The sequence below is a fragment of the Homo sapiens genome, chromosome 21 (genome assembly GCF_000001405.40).
Source record: "Homo sapiens chromosome 21, GRCh38.p14 Primary Assembly".
In the NCBI taxonomy this organism is placed as follows: domain Eukaryota; kingdom Metazoa; phylum Chordata; class Mammalia; order Primates; family Hominidae; genus Homo; species Homo sapiens.
In genome coordinates, this window is record NC_000021.9 from 31025145 (window position 1) to 31044807 (window position 19663).

At 38.8% G+C, this 19663-nt stretch overlaps 1 protein-coding gene and 1 long non-coding RNA gene across 2 annotated transcripts, besides 2 other annotated features; one reads left to right on the forward strand and one right to left on the reverse strand.

The window, feature by feature from the left end:
- Positions 1–4950: 4950 nt before the first annotated feature.
- Positions 4951–11124, forward strand: LOC105372774 (uncharacterized). The gene is made up of 3 exons (XR_937657.2): positions 4951–5134; positions 9310–9404; positions 11050–11124. It is a non-coding gene; the product is annotated as an uncharacterized LOC105372774 (long non-coding RNA).
- Positions 11125–13014: 1890 nt separating this feature from the next.
- On the reverse strand, positions 13015–13332 carry KRTAP19-8 (keratin associated protein 19-8). The gene has a single exon (NM_001099219.1). It carries the CDS (start codon positions 13297–13299, stop codon positions 13108–13110), a length of 192 nt encoding a protein of 63 aa, NP_001092689.1. The 5' UTR covers positions 13300–13332; the 3' UTR covers positions 13015–13107.
- Positions 14042–14211: an enhancer, noted in NCBI's record as "experimental_61959 CRE fragment used in MPRA reporter constructs". NCBI's record gives its function as "activates a minimal promoter by MPRAs in K562 erythroleukemia cells, with activity observed for the non-introgressed 21:32411590 variant allele {active_cell/tissue: K562}" and the evidence as "EXISTENCE:reporter gene assay evidence [ECO:0000049][PMID:34662402]".
- Positions 16421–16490: an enhancer, noted in NCBI's record as "active region_18351". NCBI's record gives its function as "activates an Ori minimal core promoter by ATAC-STARR-seq in GM12878 lymphoblastoid cells {active_cell/tissue: GM12878}" and the evidence as "EXISTENCE:reporter gene assay evidence [ECO:0000049][PMID:35858748]".

Genomic DNA, 19663 nt, shown 5'->3' on the forward strand with positions numbered 1-19663 from the left:
TGAGCCCTTAAAAGGGACAGGAATTGCTCGCTCAGGGAGCTCAGCTATTGAGACAGGAGTCCTGCCAATGCTCCCCGCCAAATAAACCGCTTCCTTCTTTAACTCGGTGTCTGAGGGGTTTTGTCCGCGGCTTGTCCTGCTACAAACCAACTGGATCCTATTCCACGGTTCCTTCTCTTTTCCTTCTTTCATCCTTGACTCATGGTCCCCAGCATCATGTTTTTCCCCTCTGAGGACAAAATGGACTCAGAGTCATGAACAAGCAAATGCATCACATGTTTTAAAAAATGATAGTAACCCTATTTAATGAATCCAACAAAAGCGCAAACCTAACCCTTCCCACCATCGAAGAACAAAGCTAATAATTAACACATATCACTTATTTAAGCTTTATTTGTGTACCTCAAATGTACATTGATATAAATGTCTAGACAATGGAAAGATCTTTTGCAGAGTTGAGGATTGTTCACTGAAAATTAACCCTAATCTAGCCAAATATATATATATGTGTGTGTGTGTATATATATGTGTATATATGTGTATATATATATATATTTGAGTTAATATATGTAAACTCAATTCTTTCTGTCTATATATTGAGTTATATATATTGAGATATATGTATCTATATACATTGAGTTAGTATATATATATAAACTCAATTCTCTTAGGCATCAATGTCAAAGGTGTTATGATACAATAATGCAGTAAATAACATAGCTGCAAAATATTTAAAACAAAAATTCAGAGAAGTACAGAAAAAAAACAGGCACTTCTACCATTATAGCACAATATTTTAACATACTTTTTCTGACACTAGATCAGACAGAAAATAAATTGGTAAGGATACAGATTGAACACTACCCAAAAATTATCTTATGTGCATATATGGAGCACTATATCTTCAAAATACATTATTTTCAAGAACATGAAGAATATTTATATTTAAAAAGATTTTAAAAGTGACCACGTCTTAAAGTCTTTAAACATGTCAAATAATTGATCTCATATAGATCACTTTTCAACCAAAAGTCAATTTAATTGTTACTTATAATGACAAAAACATATAGAAAAACCCCCATATGTTTGGGAATTTAAATGCACAAATTTAATAACTCATAGGTCAAAGAAGAAATCACAAGATAAATTATAAAATATTAAGAATTGAAATAACAAAAATAGCACATGCCCCATAAAACTTGTGATATAAAGGTAAAGTGGTATGTAGAGTAAAATTTATAAAGTAATATGATAATAGAATAGTAATAGAAAAGTCAATATGCTGAAAATTTATCTATATATCCAAAGAGTGCTAAAGGGATATAATAGAGGAAAGTAAACACATAACAGAAAGGAATGGTGATGTGAGAACTTGGTTATTTGAAAGAATAATAAAACTGACAGCCCTCTAACAAGTTTAATCTAAAAAAAGAGATAAAATAAATAATATTGGAATGAACATTAACCAAAATTATAGACACTATGCATATGAAAAAGATAACAGTACTAATAAATATGAAAACAGATGAGCAGATCATTGAAAAATATAATTTACAAAATGGCCTAGAGAACAACTAAAAAACAATAAATATGCTTATTAACTTTTTTTGAAATGAGTAAGTAAAAAACAACTTTCTAAAAAGAAAATATTAGTTCCACGTAGTTTGATTAGCCACCTCTGGGAATAAGTTAATTCCTGAAAAGGTAAGTTAATTCCTGAAAAGGTAAGTTTCTAAGAATAAAAGGAGAGACGCTCCCCAGTTCATTTTATAAAGCTAGTATCACTTTGTATGAAAAACTGGCAAGGGCATTATAAGAATGAAAAATTACAGACCAGTCTTCCAAATAGCAATGTAAAAATCATATATGTGTTTACATGCATGTGTGTGTTTTTATATATGCCAAAATTATATATATTTATATATGGTTCATTCAGAAATAAAAAGTAAAATGGCAAGCCATTAGTAGAAAAAGATATTTATATAGAGAGTAAATATATTTATTTATATCTTTATATATGACAAAAACATACATTGATAATTTAACATTTTTAATGTAATGTCTATTAACCAGTAAGAAAAAATAAAGACTATCCAATTAAAGTGGGAGGGAAGACAGGAAAATAGACCTGATCTAGACTTCACAAATGAGAATATTAATGATTTATCATAGCATGGAATGAAAATGATGAAGTGTGCTGAGAATATGCAAATACAATTCAAGTGCACACAATTAAAATCCCATATCATGATTAATCATAGCAAATGTGTGTGTATTCCTAGCAATAAATTGAGCAAAATATGCATAAGACTATGATAGACATATTAATTATTAAAAGACTTCAAATACAAGATATACCATGTTTGTGGATTAGAAGCAGCAATATAAAACAAGTCAGTTCTCTGCAAATTCATGATAAAGGCATTTACAGTCTACGTTGCAATGAATTTGTGTGTATGTGTGTATATTTAACTTGTCAAAAGAAATTTCCAACATATATATGGAAAAACATAGAGCCAGGACAACCAACACATTTTAAGACAACAAGTTAGTGAAGCTTGCTTTACCAGATATCAAGAATTCTTACAAAATGTTTACATTCATGACACTGTAGAATTATCACAGGGAAAAGCAACAGATCAATGAAACAGACTTGAAACTTGATTTATGTCAGAGCTGGCATTGCACACCAGTGGGAAAAGAATAGACTTTAAATAAACATTACTTAGACATTGTTATTGGTTTGGAAAAAATTAAATCAAAGCCCTTTTTAACCTCTTGCACAGAAACAGATTCCAGATAGATTAAAGACATAAATATGAAAGGCAAAACTATACAACTTTTAGTCAAAATATAGGACAACATATTTGTGATATTAGGAGAACGAAAAAAGTCTTTTTTTTTTTTTTTGGTAGATATGGGGTCTCAATATGTTGCTGAAGCTGGTCTCACTCCTGACCTCAAGCAATCCTCCCACATTGGCCTTCCAAAGTTCTGGGATTACAGGCAGGAGCCACCACACTGGGCCAGGAAAATTGTCTTAAGATGCAAAAGATGCAAGTCATTTTTTAAAAGAGATAAATTAGCTAAATTAAAATTAAGGATTTTTGGTCCTAAAAGATATGAAATATAAAAAGACAACCCACAAACTGGGAAAAAAAATGTTTGCCCTAGATGTTACTGGCAAAGGAATAGTAACTGAGCAAAGAACTTCTGCAAATCATTTTAAAAAGCAAATGACTGGTAGGAAACTGAAACAAAAAATGTAAACAGTTCTTCAGAGAAGAGAAAATCCAAGGACCAAAAAAATACAAGTAAGATTCTTAGTTTTGTTAATCGCCAAGAAAACAAAAATTCAAACCACAATTAGGTACTATATTATGACTTCCAGACTGACAAAAGTTAAAGAGCCTAACAAAATCTAATGTTGGCAAGGATATGGAATTATCCTTCTGGTGAGATTATAAATTGAGACAAGCATCTTTGAAGACTGTATCAACCAGCAAGTGTTTCTTCTAGAAGACAGGTGCATATTCATAGCAGTCCCTTTCATAATAAAAATAGCAAAAATCCAAATGTTCATCAAGGATAGCAGAGGTAACAAACTATGTGAGAGTCATGCAATGAAAACACTGCCTTCTAGAAGTGACAATTAATAATTTACAGGTAAATGTAAAAACATGGAGTATCTCAGAGACATAATGTTGAACTAAAAAAGGAAATATCATAACACATACACTATAATTTATCTATATAAAGTTCAAAAATATACAACATTAAATAATATGTTACTTAGGGATATACCGTCTGGGAAAACTAAAGTTACAAAAAGAGAGAGATAGGCTGGGTGCGGTGGCTCACACCTATAATCCCAGCACTTTGGGAGGCCGGGGCGGGCAGATCACAAGGTCAGGAGATCAAGACCATCCTGGCTAACATGGTGAAACCCTGTCTCTACTAAAAATACAAAAAATTAGCCAGACGCGGTGGCGGGCACCTGTAGTCCCAGCTACTCGAGAGGCTGAGGCAGGAGAATGGCGTGAACCCAGAAGGCGGAGCATGCAGTGACCCAAGATTGCACCACTGCACTCCAGCCTGGGCAACAGAGCTAGACTCAGTCTCAAAAAAAAAAAAAAAAAAGAGAGCGAGAGCGAGAGATAAACACAAGTTAATTCAGCCAGGGTGGTTTCCTCTGAGTAGAGAGGAAAGGGAATGGGACAAGGACTTCAATGGTAACAATAATTTTTTTTTTTTTGGTAGTGATAGTGGTGGTAACCAGGTGAGATACTCCAGATATTCACTGTATCATTAGTCTTTATATTTTATGCATATTTTACAAGTATTTTGGGGGTTTCCTCAACATTGAATTTAAAATTTTTTAATGAATTGTCTTCAAGGATTGTCTTTCAAGAAGTAGTGGCATATGGCCGGGCGCGGTGGCTCACGCCTGTAATCCCAGCACTTTGGGAGGCTGAGGTGGGTGGATCACGAGGTCAGGAGATCAAGACCATCCTGGCTAACACGGTGAAACTCTGTCTCTACTAAAAAAAAAAAAAAAAATACAAAACATTAGCCTGGCATGGTGGTGGGCGCCTGTAGTCCCAGTTACTCAGGAGGCTGAGGCAGGAGAATGGTGTGAACCCGGGAGGTGGAGCTTGCAGTGAGCCAAGATTGTGCCACTGCACTCCAGCCTGGGCGACAGAGCGAGACTCTATCTCAAAAAAAAAAAAAAAGTGGTGGCATAGATGGACAAAGAGTTGAAACCTTACCTAAACTGGATACTCTGGCTGAAATATGACAGCAGGGACAAAAAGGATCAGCTGCAGAGCTTTAGTCTCAGAGGAAGTGGCATAGCAGATCGAAAACCAAAGGAGAGGCTCAGATGTAATAAAACAATCTGGGGATCCAGTTACTAGAATGAGGTCATAGGAAAGGGCTAGATCACACAGAACAAAGCCAGAACCCAACCAGGGCTAACACTCCAAGTGAACCAGCACTAAGGCTGAATCATTTGAATTATTGTCCTGAGTTCCTTTGTCCCAAGGAAAAGCATGGATCCCATTGCTGTTGTACAGGGTTGAATATTAAAGGAGGAGCTTCAGAGAATCAAGCCTTAAACGAGAAGTCTGCAAAGGTGAGAAGCTAAGCAGGTCTTTATATCATTGTCAAGAAAAAAAGGAGTTTCTTCCTATTTTACAGGTAGAGGTCCCAAAATAAGTTAAAGTGACTTATCTGAAGTCATTTCATCATCAGTTTGGAAATAGAAATAGAATCCATCAGTCTTAGTTCTTTTTGTTGATGCCATCCCTGGTCTACACTCCTTCATTCATAAATTACTTAGCAGCTACACACACTCTATGCAGGAGGCAGGCCATGATTCACAGGCTTAGGTGTTTCAGACAAGGTTTTATTTCTTTATTTTCAGTTCCCATTTTTTTTTTGGCTCTAAAAATAGCAGCTGTGCTGAACAGTACTCAATGGAAGAAAGAAAGGAACTCATTTACAGAGCAGAGGACAAAAATAGTTTACCCAGCATTTATACTATGCTCTTTGGAGCTCAGGGTCAAAGATTTCAGCAGGAGTTTTCTTTAGTAACCTAAATTTACTTACTTTCTTTTACTACATCAAAATGGTTTTAAGTGTCTATTCACATAACAATGAATGTGAGGGTCTATCCAATGCCAACAAGTTGGATCACTACTGAGGTGGAAATAGCGTGGCTTAAACAAATCGACAGCATATAATTGAGGTCACAAAAAGATGTTTTGCTGGCAAAACCCAAGAGGCTGTGGTAATAAAGTATGCCTGAAAATGAGAGTAGAAAAGTATTTCCCTACGTAAGTGTTACAACTGCATCAGATGTTAAATTCACCTTCAGAATTATCTTGCTCAAAAGAGTAGACCTCTGCTTCCTAATGGAAAGAAGAAATTTTAAAATAAAACACATTTAAACAAGCCATATCTATCTACCACCAATTTTCTTTCTTTTTTTTTTTTTTTTTTTTTTTTTTTTTTTTTTTGAGACAGAGTCTTGCTCTGTTGCCCAGACTGGAGTGCAGTGGTACGATCTAGACTCACTGTAAGCTCCGCCTCCCAGGTTCACACCATTCTCCTGCCTCAGCCTCACGAGTAGCTGGGACTACAGGTGCCCACCACCACACCTCGCTAATTTTTTTTGTACGTTTAGTAGAGACGGGGTTTCACCGTGTTATCCAGGATGGTCTCCATCTTCCTGACCTGGTGATCCGCCCACCTCGAACTCCCAAAGTGCTGGGATTACAGGCGTTGAGCCACCACGCCCAGCTGATCTGCCACCAATTTTCTGTATGACCTCACATAAGCTTCCTCTGAGCTTTGGTTTCCCAACTGGTCAATGGCCATTCCTGGCTCCCCAAAGAGAAACAGTTACCAGAACACCTGGCTGAGCGTGAAGAGTCATTCAAATGGCGAATTGGAAGTACAGCTGAGATTGGATTCCATGGAATTTTCTCATGATAACCCTAGGAATATATGGGGGAAATGGGTAGAAGATAAGAGATCCAGCTATTCTGATTCATGAATTGCCCAATGAGAGGGGATTAGTGGTTTCTTTTTAATCTGAGAGGATGTATTAGATTTCTATTGGTGCAAAACACAATACCCAAAATTTAGCAACTTAAAACACCACATTTTATTATCTCACAGTTCTGTAGGTCAGAAATTCAGTAAGCCTGGCTGGGTTCTCTGCTTAGAATTTCATAAAACCAAAGTCAAGGCATCAGCCAGTCTGGGCCTTTATCTGGAGGTTCTGCAGAAGGATCTAATTCTAAACTCGTTCAGTTTGTTGACAGAATTCAGCTCTTTGTGGATGTAGGTCTGTGGTTCCCATTTACTTGCTGGCTGTTAGGTGGGAGCATCTCTCTGCTTCTAAGCAGCGCCTGCATCCCTTCATATGGGGTCCACTCCATGGTCAAAGTTAGCAACAGTATGTTGAATCTCCTCCATGCTTTGAATCTCTGACTTCTGCTATCAGTAGAGAAAACATTCTGCTTTTAAGAACTCATGTGATGAGCCGGGCGCGGTGGCTCATGCCTGTAATCCCAGCACTTTGGGAGGCCAAGGCGGGTGGATCACGAGGTCAGGAGATCAAGACCACGGTGAAACCCCGTCTCTACTAAAAATACAAAAAAATTAGCTGGGTGCGGTGGCAGGTGCCTGTAGTCCCAGCTACTCAGGAGGCTGAGGCAGGAGAATGGCGTGAACCTGGGAGGTGGAGCTTGCAGTGAGCCGAGATCACACCACTGCACTCTAGCCTGGGCAACAGAGCAAGACTCCGTCTCAAAAAAAAAAAAAGAACTCGTGTAATTAGATCAGACCTAACCAGATCATTGCAAGGTCATGTGCCATGTAACATAACACAATCATGAGAGTGTCATCTCATCCTATTCCCAGTTCCCATGAATCAGGGCAGGGCATTTTTGTGGAGGCCACTGTAGAAATTCTGCCTGTCACAAAGAAAGTAGCGGATAAGTCAGTAACATAGGTTTTGGTGAAGACTGATTTGCTTTCAAATTCCAGCTCTGTAATTTGAGTGGGTTTCTGTTTAAAGTCAGGTTAAATTGCTGAACTTCTCAAGCTTCGCTTTCTGTAGATTACAATCTACTTAGGAGCAGGGTACCAACTGCTACTTCCCATATACTTTGCACAGTGCCCAAGACATGCCAGTGTTTGCAAATATTTGAAAGGATGAATGAATGAATAACATTGAAAGTCATCCCCAAAACATACTATAAAGCTGTATTTGGCCCTGTTTTGTCAATGTTTCTTTCATTGACTTGGGCCAATGAGATTGTGTTAATGAATTTACCCAAACTGACTTGGGTCAATGAACAAAAACGGAGAAGCAATGTACATTAAAGAGATAAGTGAAATAAAGCTGGGCCAAACATTGGGTAACACAGCCGAAATTAAGAAGAGTCATGGCAAACTAAAAAAAAAACAAGCATTTCAATCAACTAAAATGAAGATTAATTAGTTTCCTTAATGACTTCGGCAGCTAGGAACCTCAGAGCTAGGTTTTTCTTAACTCAATTACAGTTTTCCCTTAGCCTAGGTTATCTAGCATAGTTGCCCTGCCTCTTGTCCTTTGTCTCTAATGCTTGATGGTTTTAATGTGATACTTTGTTTTACTGTAAATCACCTGAAAGCTTATTAGGACGTACACAAGATATAAAATATGACAAAATGGAAAAAAATCTGTTTTCTAAAATTTCTGGGGTCCTAAAGAAAAGAGCAGAAAGGGATTTTTCTCAAGGAGATCCAGAAACAGAATCACTTTCTTAAAGATTCACATAATGAATGGGTCACACATGGAGAGTGTGAGCTTGGGCAAAGCTAGGCTGGAATAGGCTCCAAGGCAAGATGGTGGAGGAAATGGCCTTACCTGATCATTTTTCCATCACACTCTGTGCCCCTCCCACCCTGAAACTTCAGTGAAAGTCCTAATCTGCCAAAATGCTATTATGTAAATGGGATTTTTTTTTCTTGGTGCAGATGGTTAAGGCCAGGTGGAGAAAGAAGATGGCACAAACTGAGTTACATAGACAGAAATGGGAGTAAGGAAAAGAGAGACTTTGAGCTATTATACATCTTTGAATGCTTTTATCATAATTGATGAGACACAGGAAGATGCCACAGGAAGACTGAAAAAATAAATTAATAATTATCAGATAAGCTTTAGTTCCTACCCTCATGTACCCTAAACCATTTGGCAAGGTTAGTCCTGAAGAAATTCATCCATTTAATGAGGGATTCAGTGCTCTCTCTCTAGATTTATTTTTAAAACCTAAGATTTTGAAAATATAGACATCTTTGTTATGTTTATAAGATTTAAAATTCAAATATTTTGTAGATTTAATACCTGTAACATATAATGATATGAAAGTACATAGATATATGAATCTAGATACTTAAGACCTGGAGTTCCAATAAGGCAGCTTGTACCGTTTTAGAGTGACAAAAAAGGTATCAGCCTAGAAAAACTTTCTATCAAGTGTGGAAAATTTACCCTGATCTTTCCACATCTCCATCATATGCATGTTTGAGCTACAATAAATTTAAAACAGAAATGGAGCAAGGGGTCCCTAAGATATGCAAAACAATCCAGAAAAGTAACTGTGGAAAGACCACCAATTCTCCCTTTTCGGGGCACACAGAGACAAAAGGTTGAATACTTGCTAATGGGAAAAGGAGCAGAACTAATATGTTTCATCTCATCCAAAGCAGTCAAAGGCAGCTATGTTTTCTCTATGTTCTCTTCTCTCCCTTTAGTGTGGCTGGAACAATGAGATAGCAGAGCTGTAAGACATAGCAGCCCAGATCCCTGAGTCACTATAGGAGAGCTCCAAGGAGAAGTGACTCACTGAGTAAGACTTAGACAAGAGTCATAAATAACTTTACTGGATTAAGCCTGAGATTTGAGGGTGTACTTGTTACTGCAGCATAGTCTGTATTATCCTGACTAATACCAAAACATTATTCCAAATCATAAACACAAATATTTCCTGATCTGAAGTCAATTGGGATTCAACTGTTTCAAATTACCTACAACACAAATTAGACATTATAGAGGAACTAGCAAAAGCTTACTTCTTTATTTATAGATATTTATCATCTACTGTCAACTAATAATAGATAAGAAAATAGCCAATAAATCAGGGACATTTACAAAATGCACAGAGATTTTGTTTTGTTTTACTACTTCCAAGCACCTCCCAGATAGTAGTCACCAAAGTTTAATTTAAAAAATATGAATTTTGGCTGGATGCAGTGGCTCACACCTGTAATCCCAGCACTTTGGGAGGCTGAGGCAGGTGAATTGCTTGAGCTCAGGGGTTCAAGACCAGTTTAGGCAACATGGTGAAACCCTGTCTCTACCAAAAATACAAAAATTAGCCGGGCATGGAGGTGCATGCTCCCCAGCTACTCAGGAGGCTGAGGCATGAGAATCACTTGAGCCCAGGAGGCAGAGGTTGCAGTGAGCCGAGATCATGCTACTGCACTCCAGCCTGGGTGACAGAGTAAGACCTGTCTCAAAAAATAAAATAAAAATAAAAAAATACTAATTTTAAGCAACACTGAAAAATTATTCCTAACCAATGTTCTGAACCTTATCAGACCCCAGCTTATTTTGCCACATAGGATTAGTGCCAATTAGGTTCCAGCACAAACAGGTGTTTTTAAAGCCTCCAGTCCTGGCATCATGGGGGGTAGAGAATGTCATCTCTCTCTGGGTCATCCGAATCGTTCTTAAAGGCTTCCTTTAAGACGTGAGCTTGGCATTCTATTTAGCTGGTGAATTGGGGATGAATGTACATTTTTCTTCTAAGCCTTGAAAGTTTAATCCATTCTGTGCAAGATAAATCTCAGCAGGCATTTGGGGAAAGTTGAATTTACTGAGAGGTTCATATGTGGTACATTATTTTTGTCAAATAGAAGATACTAGCTGCCAATGGGGTTATAAAAGCAACTGCCTGGCCAAGATTTGTGCTGATCACTATGTTTATCACCCTCATGAGTAACTCCTAGTTCTCAAGTCATTGTTTTTCCATATACATTTTTCAGACATATTCATTAGTATGAGGAATGTTTGATATCAACATCAATTTTGTTAAATCTCCGATCAGCTATCCCAAACACATCAGGCAACACTATTGAAATGCTGAAGGCTTTATATAAAATCATGAATACTGTTGCCTAACTAAAATATCTTTGAGAAACACAAAGGATATTAGTAACTGTATATCTTTACTTATCCAAACCATTTTAATAGAGTAGATAAATTAATTAAAGGATGGCAAACACCATTTTTGTTAATATATTTGCATCTTTCCTATCAGCATAACAAATTTTTCTCACAATATTCCAAAGAATAATTTAGCCTATTATATAATTTTCAAAATCATCCAGAACAATTTTAGGCATCAAAATTCCCTTTGAAGTTTTGTCAGTATTGAGCTAGATTTGTTTTCTCTGTTAATCATACACATCTCCTACTCATATTACCCGCAGCACACTCAGCAAATATACTCCGTGTCCACTGAGCAAAATGCACTTCCTATGTAAGCTAAAGAGAGAAACCCATAGGTAAGAAGTTTCTTAATTCATGTTTTTCACTTGATTTTCTTTGTGGTTACTGTTTAACTTTCTTTAGGTCTTATTCTTTCAGATACGATTAGATTTGTGACTAACAATACTAATAACATGTATATATCCTAAAGTTGAGGCTTAGACACATTAGGAGAAACTTTCCTAATCTCCTAAATTTTGGAATAGAAACTCACCACTCCCTTCTCAAAGACCTCCCTTCCCCACCTATGTCTCTATTATGGGCTGCTATATTTTGAGTTTCTTGACACCAAAAGCGATGTATTATTCATTTGAAATTTCCATATGACGTAGCCAGCATGTAATACAAAGTAGGTCCTCAAAAAAATTTGAACTATCTGAATTATCTGCTCCTAGAAGGCACTTTTGAAATCATGGAATATTATCAATTTTTAGACCATTTTAAATTGAAATATAACAAACATGCTGAAAAATACACACAACATAAATTTAATAACTTAGAAAGAACCTCCATGTAACCACTTCCAGATCAAAACATGGAAAATTGCCAGCACCTCAGAAGTCCCCCTCAAGTCCTCCCATGAATACTGTCTTCCCAAAGGTAACGACTATCCTGACTTCTAACCCTGTAATGTCGTTTTTCTTGTCTAAAAACTTAAATAAATGGGCTCATACTGTATTTATTCTACTATGCCTGGGTCCTTTCACTCCACATTATGATCGTGAGGTTCAGCCAGGTTGTTGCCTATAGCTCTAGTTTGGCCATTGTCATTGCTGTGTAATATTCCATTGTAAGACTATACTGCAATTTATTTTTCCATTATACTGTTGATAGACATTAGGTTGTTTATGGTGAAGTCCAGACGTGCACATTTTCCAGTTATGTGGCAAATATCTGTAGCTTGCCTTGAAAGCAAATAATTTTTCATTTATGCTTCTTGACAAAATGCAAGGCATTCTGCCTGACCCTGTAAGGGTGTACATATGGAGTGCTACTGTTGAGGTTTTTTGTCAGCTGCTGGGGCAAAAATAAACTCCACCTAGGGTGGGAGATATTTGACCAGAGTGTGTGAGTATGTGTGTGTATAAGAGGAAATGGGGTGAGAAGAGGGTGGAGAGCTATAAAAGAACACCATTATCCCCAAATTATCCCCAAACCACTGGACAGATTAAAAATGATTTTATATTATAACACTGATGAGCAAGTTTCTTAATCCACAAATATTCTTGACTGCCTTATACATGCCAGGTATTGTCATGACCACAGAATATACAATGGTGAATTAACACACACACAGATCCTGGAAGCTTGGGTCTGGTTCTGTGAAATGAATCAATAGAAATGAAACCAAGTGAGATATACCAGCCACAGAAAGACAAATACTGCCCGATTCCACTTTACATGAGGCATCCAAAAGAGTGAAATTTGTAGAATCCAAGAGTAGAATGGCAGTTACCAAGGGCTGGGTGAAGGGAGAAATAGGCAGTTACTGACAAAGAGGCATGAAGTTTAAGTCAGGCAAGGTGAACGGACCTTAGAGATCAGCTATACAGTATGGTACCTGTAGTCGACAATAATGTATGGTTGACTCAAACAGTTGTTAGGAGGGTAGATCTCATGTTAAGTGTTCTTACCACAGTAAAACAGAAAAAAAAATTAAACCAAATTTGCTCTACTATTAAAATTAGTTTATTGAAATAGAAGAAGAGTTGGTGCCATGTTGATATATTAATAAGGGAAGAGAGGGATTCACAGCTTGAAAGGTGGGATTCTAGGTCATTCTACAGGAAGGGCTCCCCTTGCTGCTGCCACTGATTCTGTTGTGTTTGTTGCCAGAATTGAGTCTTGACTTTGAAGAGTTCACAAGGCACCCTTTGCTGCTTTGTCTGGTTTATCAAGAAAGTGGCTGCGCAATTCACAGAGGGGGTAAAAAGACCTGAAAGGAGAATTAAGTCAGGATGATAGACAGATTCTAGTGATCCAAAGAATGAGTTCACTCTTCAGTAGAAGGCAGAGAATCCATATCCTCCGTAGTATAATGGTCGGCAACAGCTGAATCCATAGCCTCCGTAGCCACAGCCATAGCCCAACCTGCGGAAGCTGCCATAGCCGCAGCCATAGCCATAGCCCCAGCCACCAAAGCCTCCATAGCCATAGCCCAGGCCTCCATAATAGCTTCTGTAGTAGCTCATGGTTCAGCAACTGTAGATGTGTTTGGAGGTCAAGGGCAAGTTTCCTGAGTACAACTATCACCAGCTTCCCTGGGACTTTTATACATCCTCAGTGATTAGTGGGGTAGACTTCTCATGGCGTAGATTCAATTGCATGAAAAAAAACTCACTCATCTTAAAACTGTAGGACAATTCCTGACACTAATTAAAGATGTTTTCATTCGATTTCTGTGCAGTTTGGATTCCACAGGATGATTATGCTGTCTTCAAAGCCCTCTTGCTTTGACCATCATAGTTAAAGCTCTATAATCAGACATAAGAGCAGCAATCAGCTCCCATTTTGTCACCTAAAATTGTTCTTTCATTACAGCCCCTTCCCAGTATCCAATTCTTAATGTATTCCTTGCACAAATATTTAATGCCCAACTAATGCATCCCAGGCACTATGCTCAGAGCTAGAGATATGGCTGTAAATAAGAACTGCCCTTCCCAATCCCATGAGTTTTTCCCCTTCATCTTTGTTATTTAAGTTAGTGAAGTAATAGAAGAGGTACACTTACTGTATAAATCCAACAAAATGTAGCTGATAGCACAAAAGGATCACATTTATTTTTTTAAGAGAGAGAGAAAAACCCAAATGGAAAAATTTTGTTTCCTTACACATTACTACCCTTTTAACTCAATGTTGTTTATGAAACTTTTGATAGCTCTTAGCTCTTACTGCAAGACTTTTTCATTATTCAATGTTTATATAGGAAATAACACTAGGGGCAAGAGCCGTGGGTGTGATTTTTGCAAAGTGATACCATATTCTTCATCTTTGTAATCTTCTTTTTAAAAAATAATCTTCTAAAGAGATTAACATCTGAGTACTGGATCTACCCATCTGACTCCACAGTCACAGGTAGGCAGGCAGCCCTCTCTGCCTTACTAAATTCCTAACACAATCAGCAAAGAGGTTTTAAAAAGCTGTTTTCCAAATTCTGGGATTCCATCTTCTGCTCTCTAAGGAAACCTTAATTAAACTACAATTTACAGAAATATGTAAAATTAAAAATACTTAAATATGACATTTTCTTTTTGAAGAATGAAGCCCACTGAAGTGTTCATGATAAGGGTCAGAATCACTTCTACTTAGCCATTGGTATCAAAACCAATTTCAAGCACATAAGCAGTACGACTATTCTATATACTATTAATAATCACTTCAGATAGAATAATATAATATCAGAACTGGTGTAACCCTCTTACTTTACAGATGATGAAACAGAATTGGAGAAGATTGGTCAGATCACCCAGTGAGTGACAAAACCCAGACTAGAACCTAAATCATTCACTTTCACCTGTTTTTTTTCATCATCACATTTTTATAGATGTTGTACAACAAAGGCAAAAGCAAGAAATATTGTATTATCACAACAGAAGAATGAAAATGCTCCTTTGCTTTCTCGGTTGGTGAGCTTTCTCATTTTGATTTTTGATCTATATGCTGATTGGTCTGTTCCTTTCCTTTGGGCCAGAACTCAAAGGACTAAAATTAGCAAGTGGACACTGAAAGTCACATCCACTTATTCTCAATGAGATTACAATGGAGATGCCTGTTGCATTGATTGTTCAAGAGATGTAAAACTGAGAGGGGAGAACAAAAATAGGTTCAAAAGTTTTGAAGTGGAAAGTTGAAGCCCAACTCTTTCTTGTCTTAGAGTTAAAAGTATATGTATTCACTAAGAGATAAATATTAAAGCAAAACAAGATGTAAAATGGGACTCAGTTTTAGCTGAGAACCTGTATCATCAGTGACAACAGCTCTCACATCCCCAAGAAAGGTGGTAATCTACCTAAGAAGGACTTGCAAAGGGAGCTACAGAAACCTAGATCCGCAGTCTGCAACTAATTGAAATCACCTTTGCAATAATTTTAACTGAGAAAATTATAACAGTGAAAGAGATCTGATCTAACCGATTCCTTCTTGCTTCTAACCTCTAAGCTGTCCTTGTTCATTCCTGGGTGTAGGCCAAACTAACTTTGGGAGGAATTTAGTTTATAGTTTAACTTCAAAACAAGGATGATAACAGCCCTTTCCTGAGATGAACCCCCTTCTTGCATGAGGACCAGTCTGCCTTTGTAGGACTAACAAATGAACTATAAGATTAGAAGCCAGGTGTGGTGGCTCACCTGAGGTCAGGAGTTTGAGACCAGCCTGACCTATATGGTGAAACCCCATCTCTACTAAAAATACAAAAATTAGCTGGGCATGGTGGCGGGCACCTTGGGAGGCTGAGACAGGAGAATTGCTTGAACCCAGGAGGCGGAGGTTGCAGTGAGCCAAGATTGTACCACTGCACTCCAGCCTGGGTGACAGAGCAAGACTCCATCTCAAAAAAAAAAAAAAAAGATTAGAAAGTATGGCTTCAGAGTCATGCCACCAGAGGCTCCAGCTGCAAGATTCTCAACCTCCCTAAGTTGCTCCTGGGAATAACATCACTGTCGTAAAACCTAAGATCAGCACTTGAAATATTTTGCAGACTTTGCCTTCTGATGCACCAAGGGATGCCACCCAGACAAGTAATCTGGCTCAACCAGTTCTGCAATCCCACCCAGAAACAGAAGATAGCAAGAAAACCCACTTCAACCCGCTGATTTCATCCTGACCCAGCCACTCAGTACTCCCCACTTCCCGATCCCCTACCCACCAAATTATCCTTAAAAACCCTGATCCTCAGATTTTCAGGGAGACTGATTTGAGTAATAACAAAACTCCAGTCTCCCATACAGCTGGCTCTGTGAGAATTAAATTCTTTATTCCAATTCCCCCATCTTGGTAAATCGGCTCTGTCTAGTCAGCAGGCAAGAACCCATTAGCCGGTTACACTAAGCTCCTATCTCCAGTCATGAAATAGGCTGGAGAGGCCAAGCGTTAGGAAGGGGAAGAGATTTCTTTGGAAATGTTTTTCAATAACCTTTTCTAGCCAGCTTCCACGGAAGTGTACTGTATCCCTTGAATTTGGAAGACACAGCCGACTGCTGACTCAGGGCTGGGAAAGTGACTACAGGTGAGAGACAGGGCTGAACGGTCCATGGCAATGAGCCAAGGCTGAGTTTCAGAGTAACTGTGCCCTCATCTGTGACTGTTCAAAGATACATGGTTCCCGGCTACCAGATAGGAATCTAGGGTGGGAATACCACCGAGTTGATTTCAAAGGGATCCTGGTCAAGAGAGTGAAGCAACCTCAGCCAAAGCAATTTGGATGGTCCCATGAGATACAGAAAGTGAGGGAGGATGTGAGCAGTCCACTAGAGGGACTGTTATACCAGAGCACTGATAAGAGGCCCATGAGTGCAGGAGTCAGCTCCGAAAGATCCACAATTCAGGGAACCCTCTTGCCAGATTGTCAGAGGCATGCGTCTCTCCCCTACTCCCCGTTTTAACACCGGAAGAGTCAGAGCAGCCTAGAGCTGAGACCAATGCTTAAGGGAGAGGTCTGCCCTGCCTCTCTTACCACTGCCAGTTTACAGGTTTACAGAGGAAAGGTGAAGCCCAACTCTTTCTTGCACAAGAGTTGTTAAAAGTAATATATTTCAGTACAGTAGAAAGCATAAGAAACACTTTCTGTGGCAGTCAGCTAGACGGTGCCCAGGTTCTTAGAAAAACCTTTTCCAAAGAAATCACTTCTACTTCCTTCACTTCTAATATGAGATTATAGGAAAGAAAAAAAAAGTCATTTCTCCTTCCTAACTTGGCCTCTCCAACATATTTAATGACTGGGGCTTAGCCACGGCTGGTACAGGCTGGCAGGGGTCTGAAAGCTTTGTCTCTGAAAGTTTTTGAAGTTTGATTATCACTGAGCTGTACATTTTCAATCTTGAACTGAAACCATTCTTGAGACTAAAATAATCAGAGAGCTTGTTTTGTTTTTATTAATCTAAAAGAGAAAGGAAATAGTATGGCACCTGAAATGTGACTGAAAAAAGAGAGAAAAAAATAGCCTTCAAAATAATTCTTAATGGAAGTTGTGGGAGGAAAAATGTAAGTCATCTTCTAAAAATGTAAGTCCTTTTGAGTTCCACTTATTCAGCATAACAATTATAAATTATAAAATATATTTAGTAGCACTAGTGCAGTTTTGGTAATATGCACAAATTATACCTGAGAAAGTACTGATCTGATATTCGTGGTAAAATCATTCCTCCGAACTGAGCTGACTTACAGAGCTAACGAGATATGTGTGTGTGTGTGTGTGTGTGTGTGTATACACACACACATATATACTTACATATACTTGCAGAGCTAACTATATATGCACACATACATACACATATATACATACACACACATATATACACATATACACATATATATACACATATATACATGTCTACATGGTCAGTGATGTAAGGAGACTATTTTTAAATGTATATAAGCAGAAATTTTGTGTTTATATAAAAACATTGATACACACTTTTATTTTTTTCTCCATTTATGGGCCATACTAAGTTTTAGGATGTAAAAGCATAGCCCAAATCCTGGATGCTATGTGACCCCAAGGTAATACTCTTGAGCTGCTTCTGCCAGAGGGCTGATTCATGGCTTCACAAGTAAGGAGCCCTGATGTTCTACCAAGGGGAGTGTGTCTTCAGCCTGGACACCAAGGAGAAAGTGCTTCTTCCCACTCAAGGGAATCCAAACACCTCTCCTACTGCCACAGCAAACAGAACCTCCATCACATCAGAAAAACAAATGCAGCTGGAAAAAGAAGACCACAGAGTCAGAGCATTCAGGCCAGCGAGACCCAGAGCTGCAGTCTCAGGCCAACGTTTCTTTAAGGAGGCAGCCAGCTTTTGGCAGACAGTACAGAAAAGTAAATATATCCTTAGACATCCATTGATAAAGGCTGAGTGATTGAGAGAAAAACTGCCTTTAAAGACAGAAAAATAAGCTATCAGAAGTGAGGAAGAGAGATCTAATGAAAGAATCAGACAGGGTACAAAGAAGAGAACCCAGATTGGAAGATAATTTTTTTTCTGAGGAAAAAATGGAGATAATCATGATTAAAAATAATCATTGCCTTTATAAAGACCTACTCTTACTCTGTGGAAACCAGGATTTGTAGATCCTTTATCGTTGTTTAGCTGGGATACTAGTCCTAGAATATCAAGCCAATGTGCTTTCATTCTTGGCAATCCCTGCGACCACATGAAAGCACTGGGGTTCTCTGGGAAACCGACTTGGGAAAGGAGTTGTGAGTGTGGGATGTTTAGTAAGGAGAGCCCTAGGATCCGCCCTAAGGAAGGGAGCTTGGGCTGACCTCTCAAGTCCTCCGCAGCTAGACTGGCCCTTCAGTGCTGTGCCAGATGACCAGGCCTTTATATTCCTATACTTATCAGTCATCAGATGTGGGAAGAAGTGTGAGCTTGGGTGAGCAGCTCAGCAGCTGAGCCAATCCTGGAAGGGGGTGACAGCTGCAGGTTGTGTACTCACCATACTCCCAGTGCCTGGGGAACAAGTCAGTTCTTGGAGGGGATCTGGCAGCACATCCTGGTGTTGAGCACATGCTATCCCAGGCTCCTGCTGCAGATGCTGCCCGGGCCCCGCCTGTATGCTCAGACCCTCAATGCCAGCAGTCCTCCTGATACAGTTTGGCTCTGTGTCCCCACCCAAATCTCATGTTGAATTGTAATCCCCATGTGTTGGACGAAGTGCCTGGTGGGAGGTGACTGAATCATAGGGGTGGACTTCCCCCTTGTTGTTCTTGTGATAGTGAGTTCTCACAAGATCTGGTTGTACAAAAATGTGTAGCACCTCCCCCTTCAGTCTCTGTCCTGCCACAATGTGAAGAAGGTGCTTGCTTCCCCCTTCACCCTTCTGCCATGACTGTAAGCTTCCTGAGGCCTCCCAGTCATGCTTCCTGTATAGCCTGCAGAACTGTGAGTCAATTAAACCTCTTTCCTTCTAAAATTACCTAGTCTCTAATAGTTTTTTTTTTTTCTTTTGAGATATTGTCTCACTCTGTTACCCAGACTGGAGTGCAGTGTTGTGATCTTGGCTCACTGCAACCTCCTCCTCCCAGGTTCAAGTGATTCTCCTGCCTCAGCCTCCCAAGTAGCTGGGACTACAGGCATGCACCATCATGCCTGGCTAATTTTTGTATATTTTTTTTAGTAGAGGTGGTGTTTCACCATATTGGCCAGGCTGGTCTCAAACTCCTGACCTCATGATCTGCCCACCTCAGCCTCCCAAAGTGCTGGGATTACAGGCGTGACCTGGTAGTTCTTTATAACAGTCGAAGAATGGACTAATACACCTCCCACGGATGGAATCCACATTGCTGTGCCTGCTGGCTTTTGGCTGAACCACTGAAGCAGCTTTGCTCATAAGTGAGAACAT

Bases quoted from the DNA above. Each gene is read 5' to 3' on its own strand.
- KRTAP19-8 (NM_001099219.1), bottom strand. From the start codon at position 13,299: ATGAGCTACTACAGAAGCTATTATGGAGGCCTGGGCTATGGCTATGGA.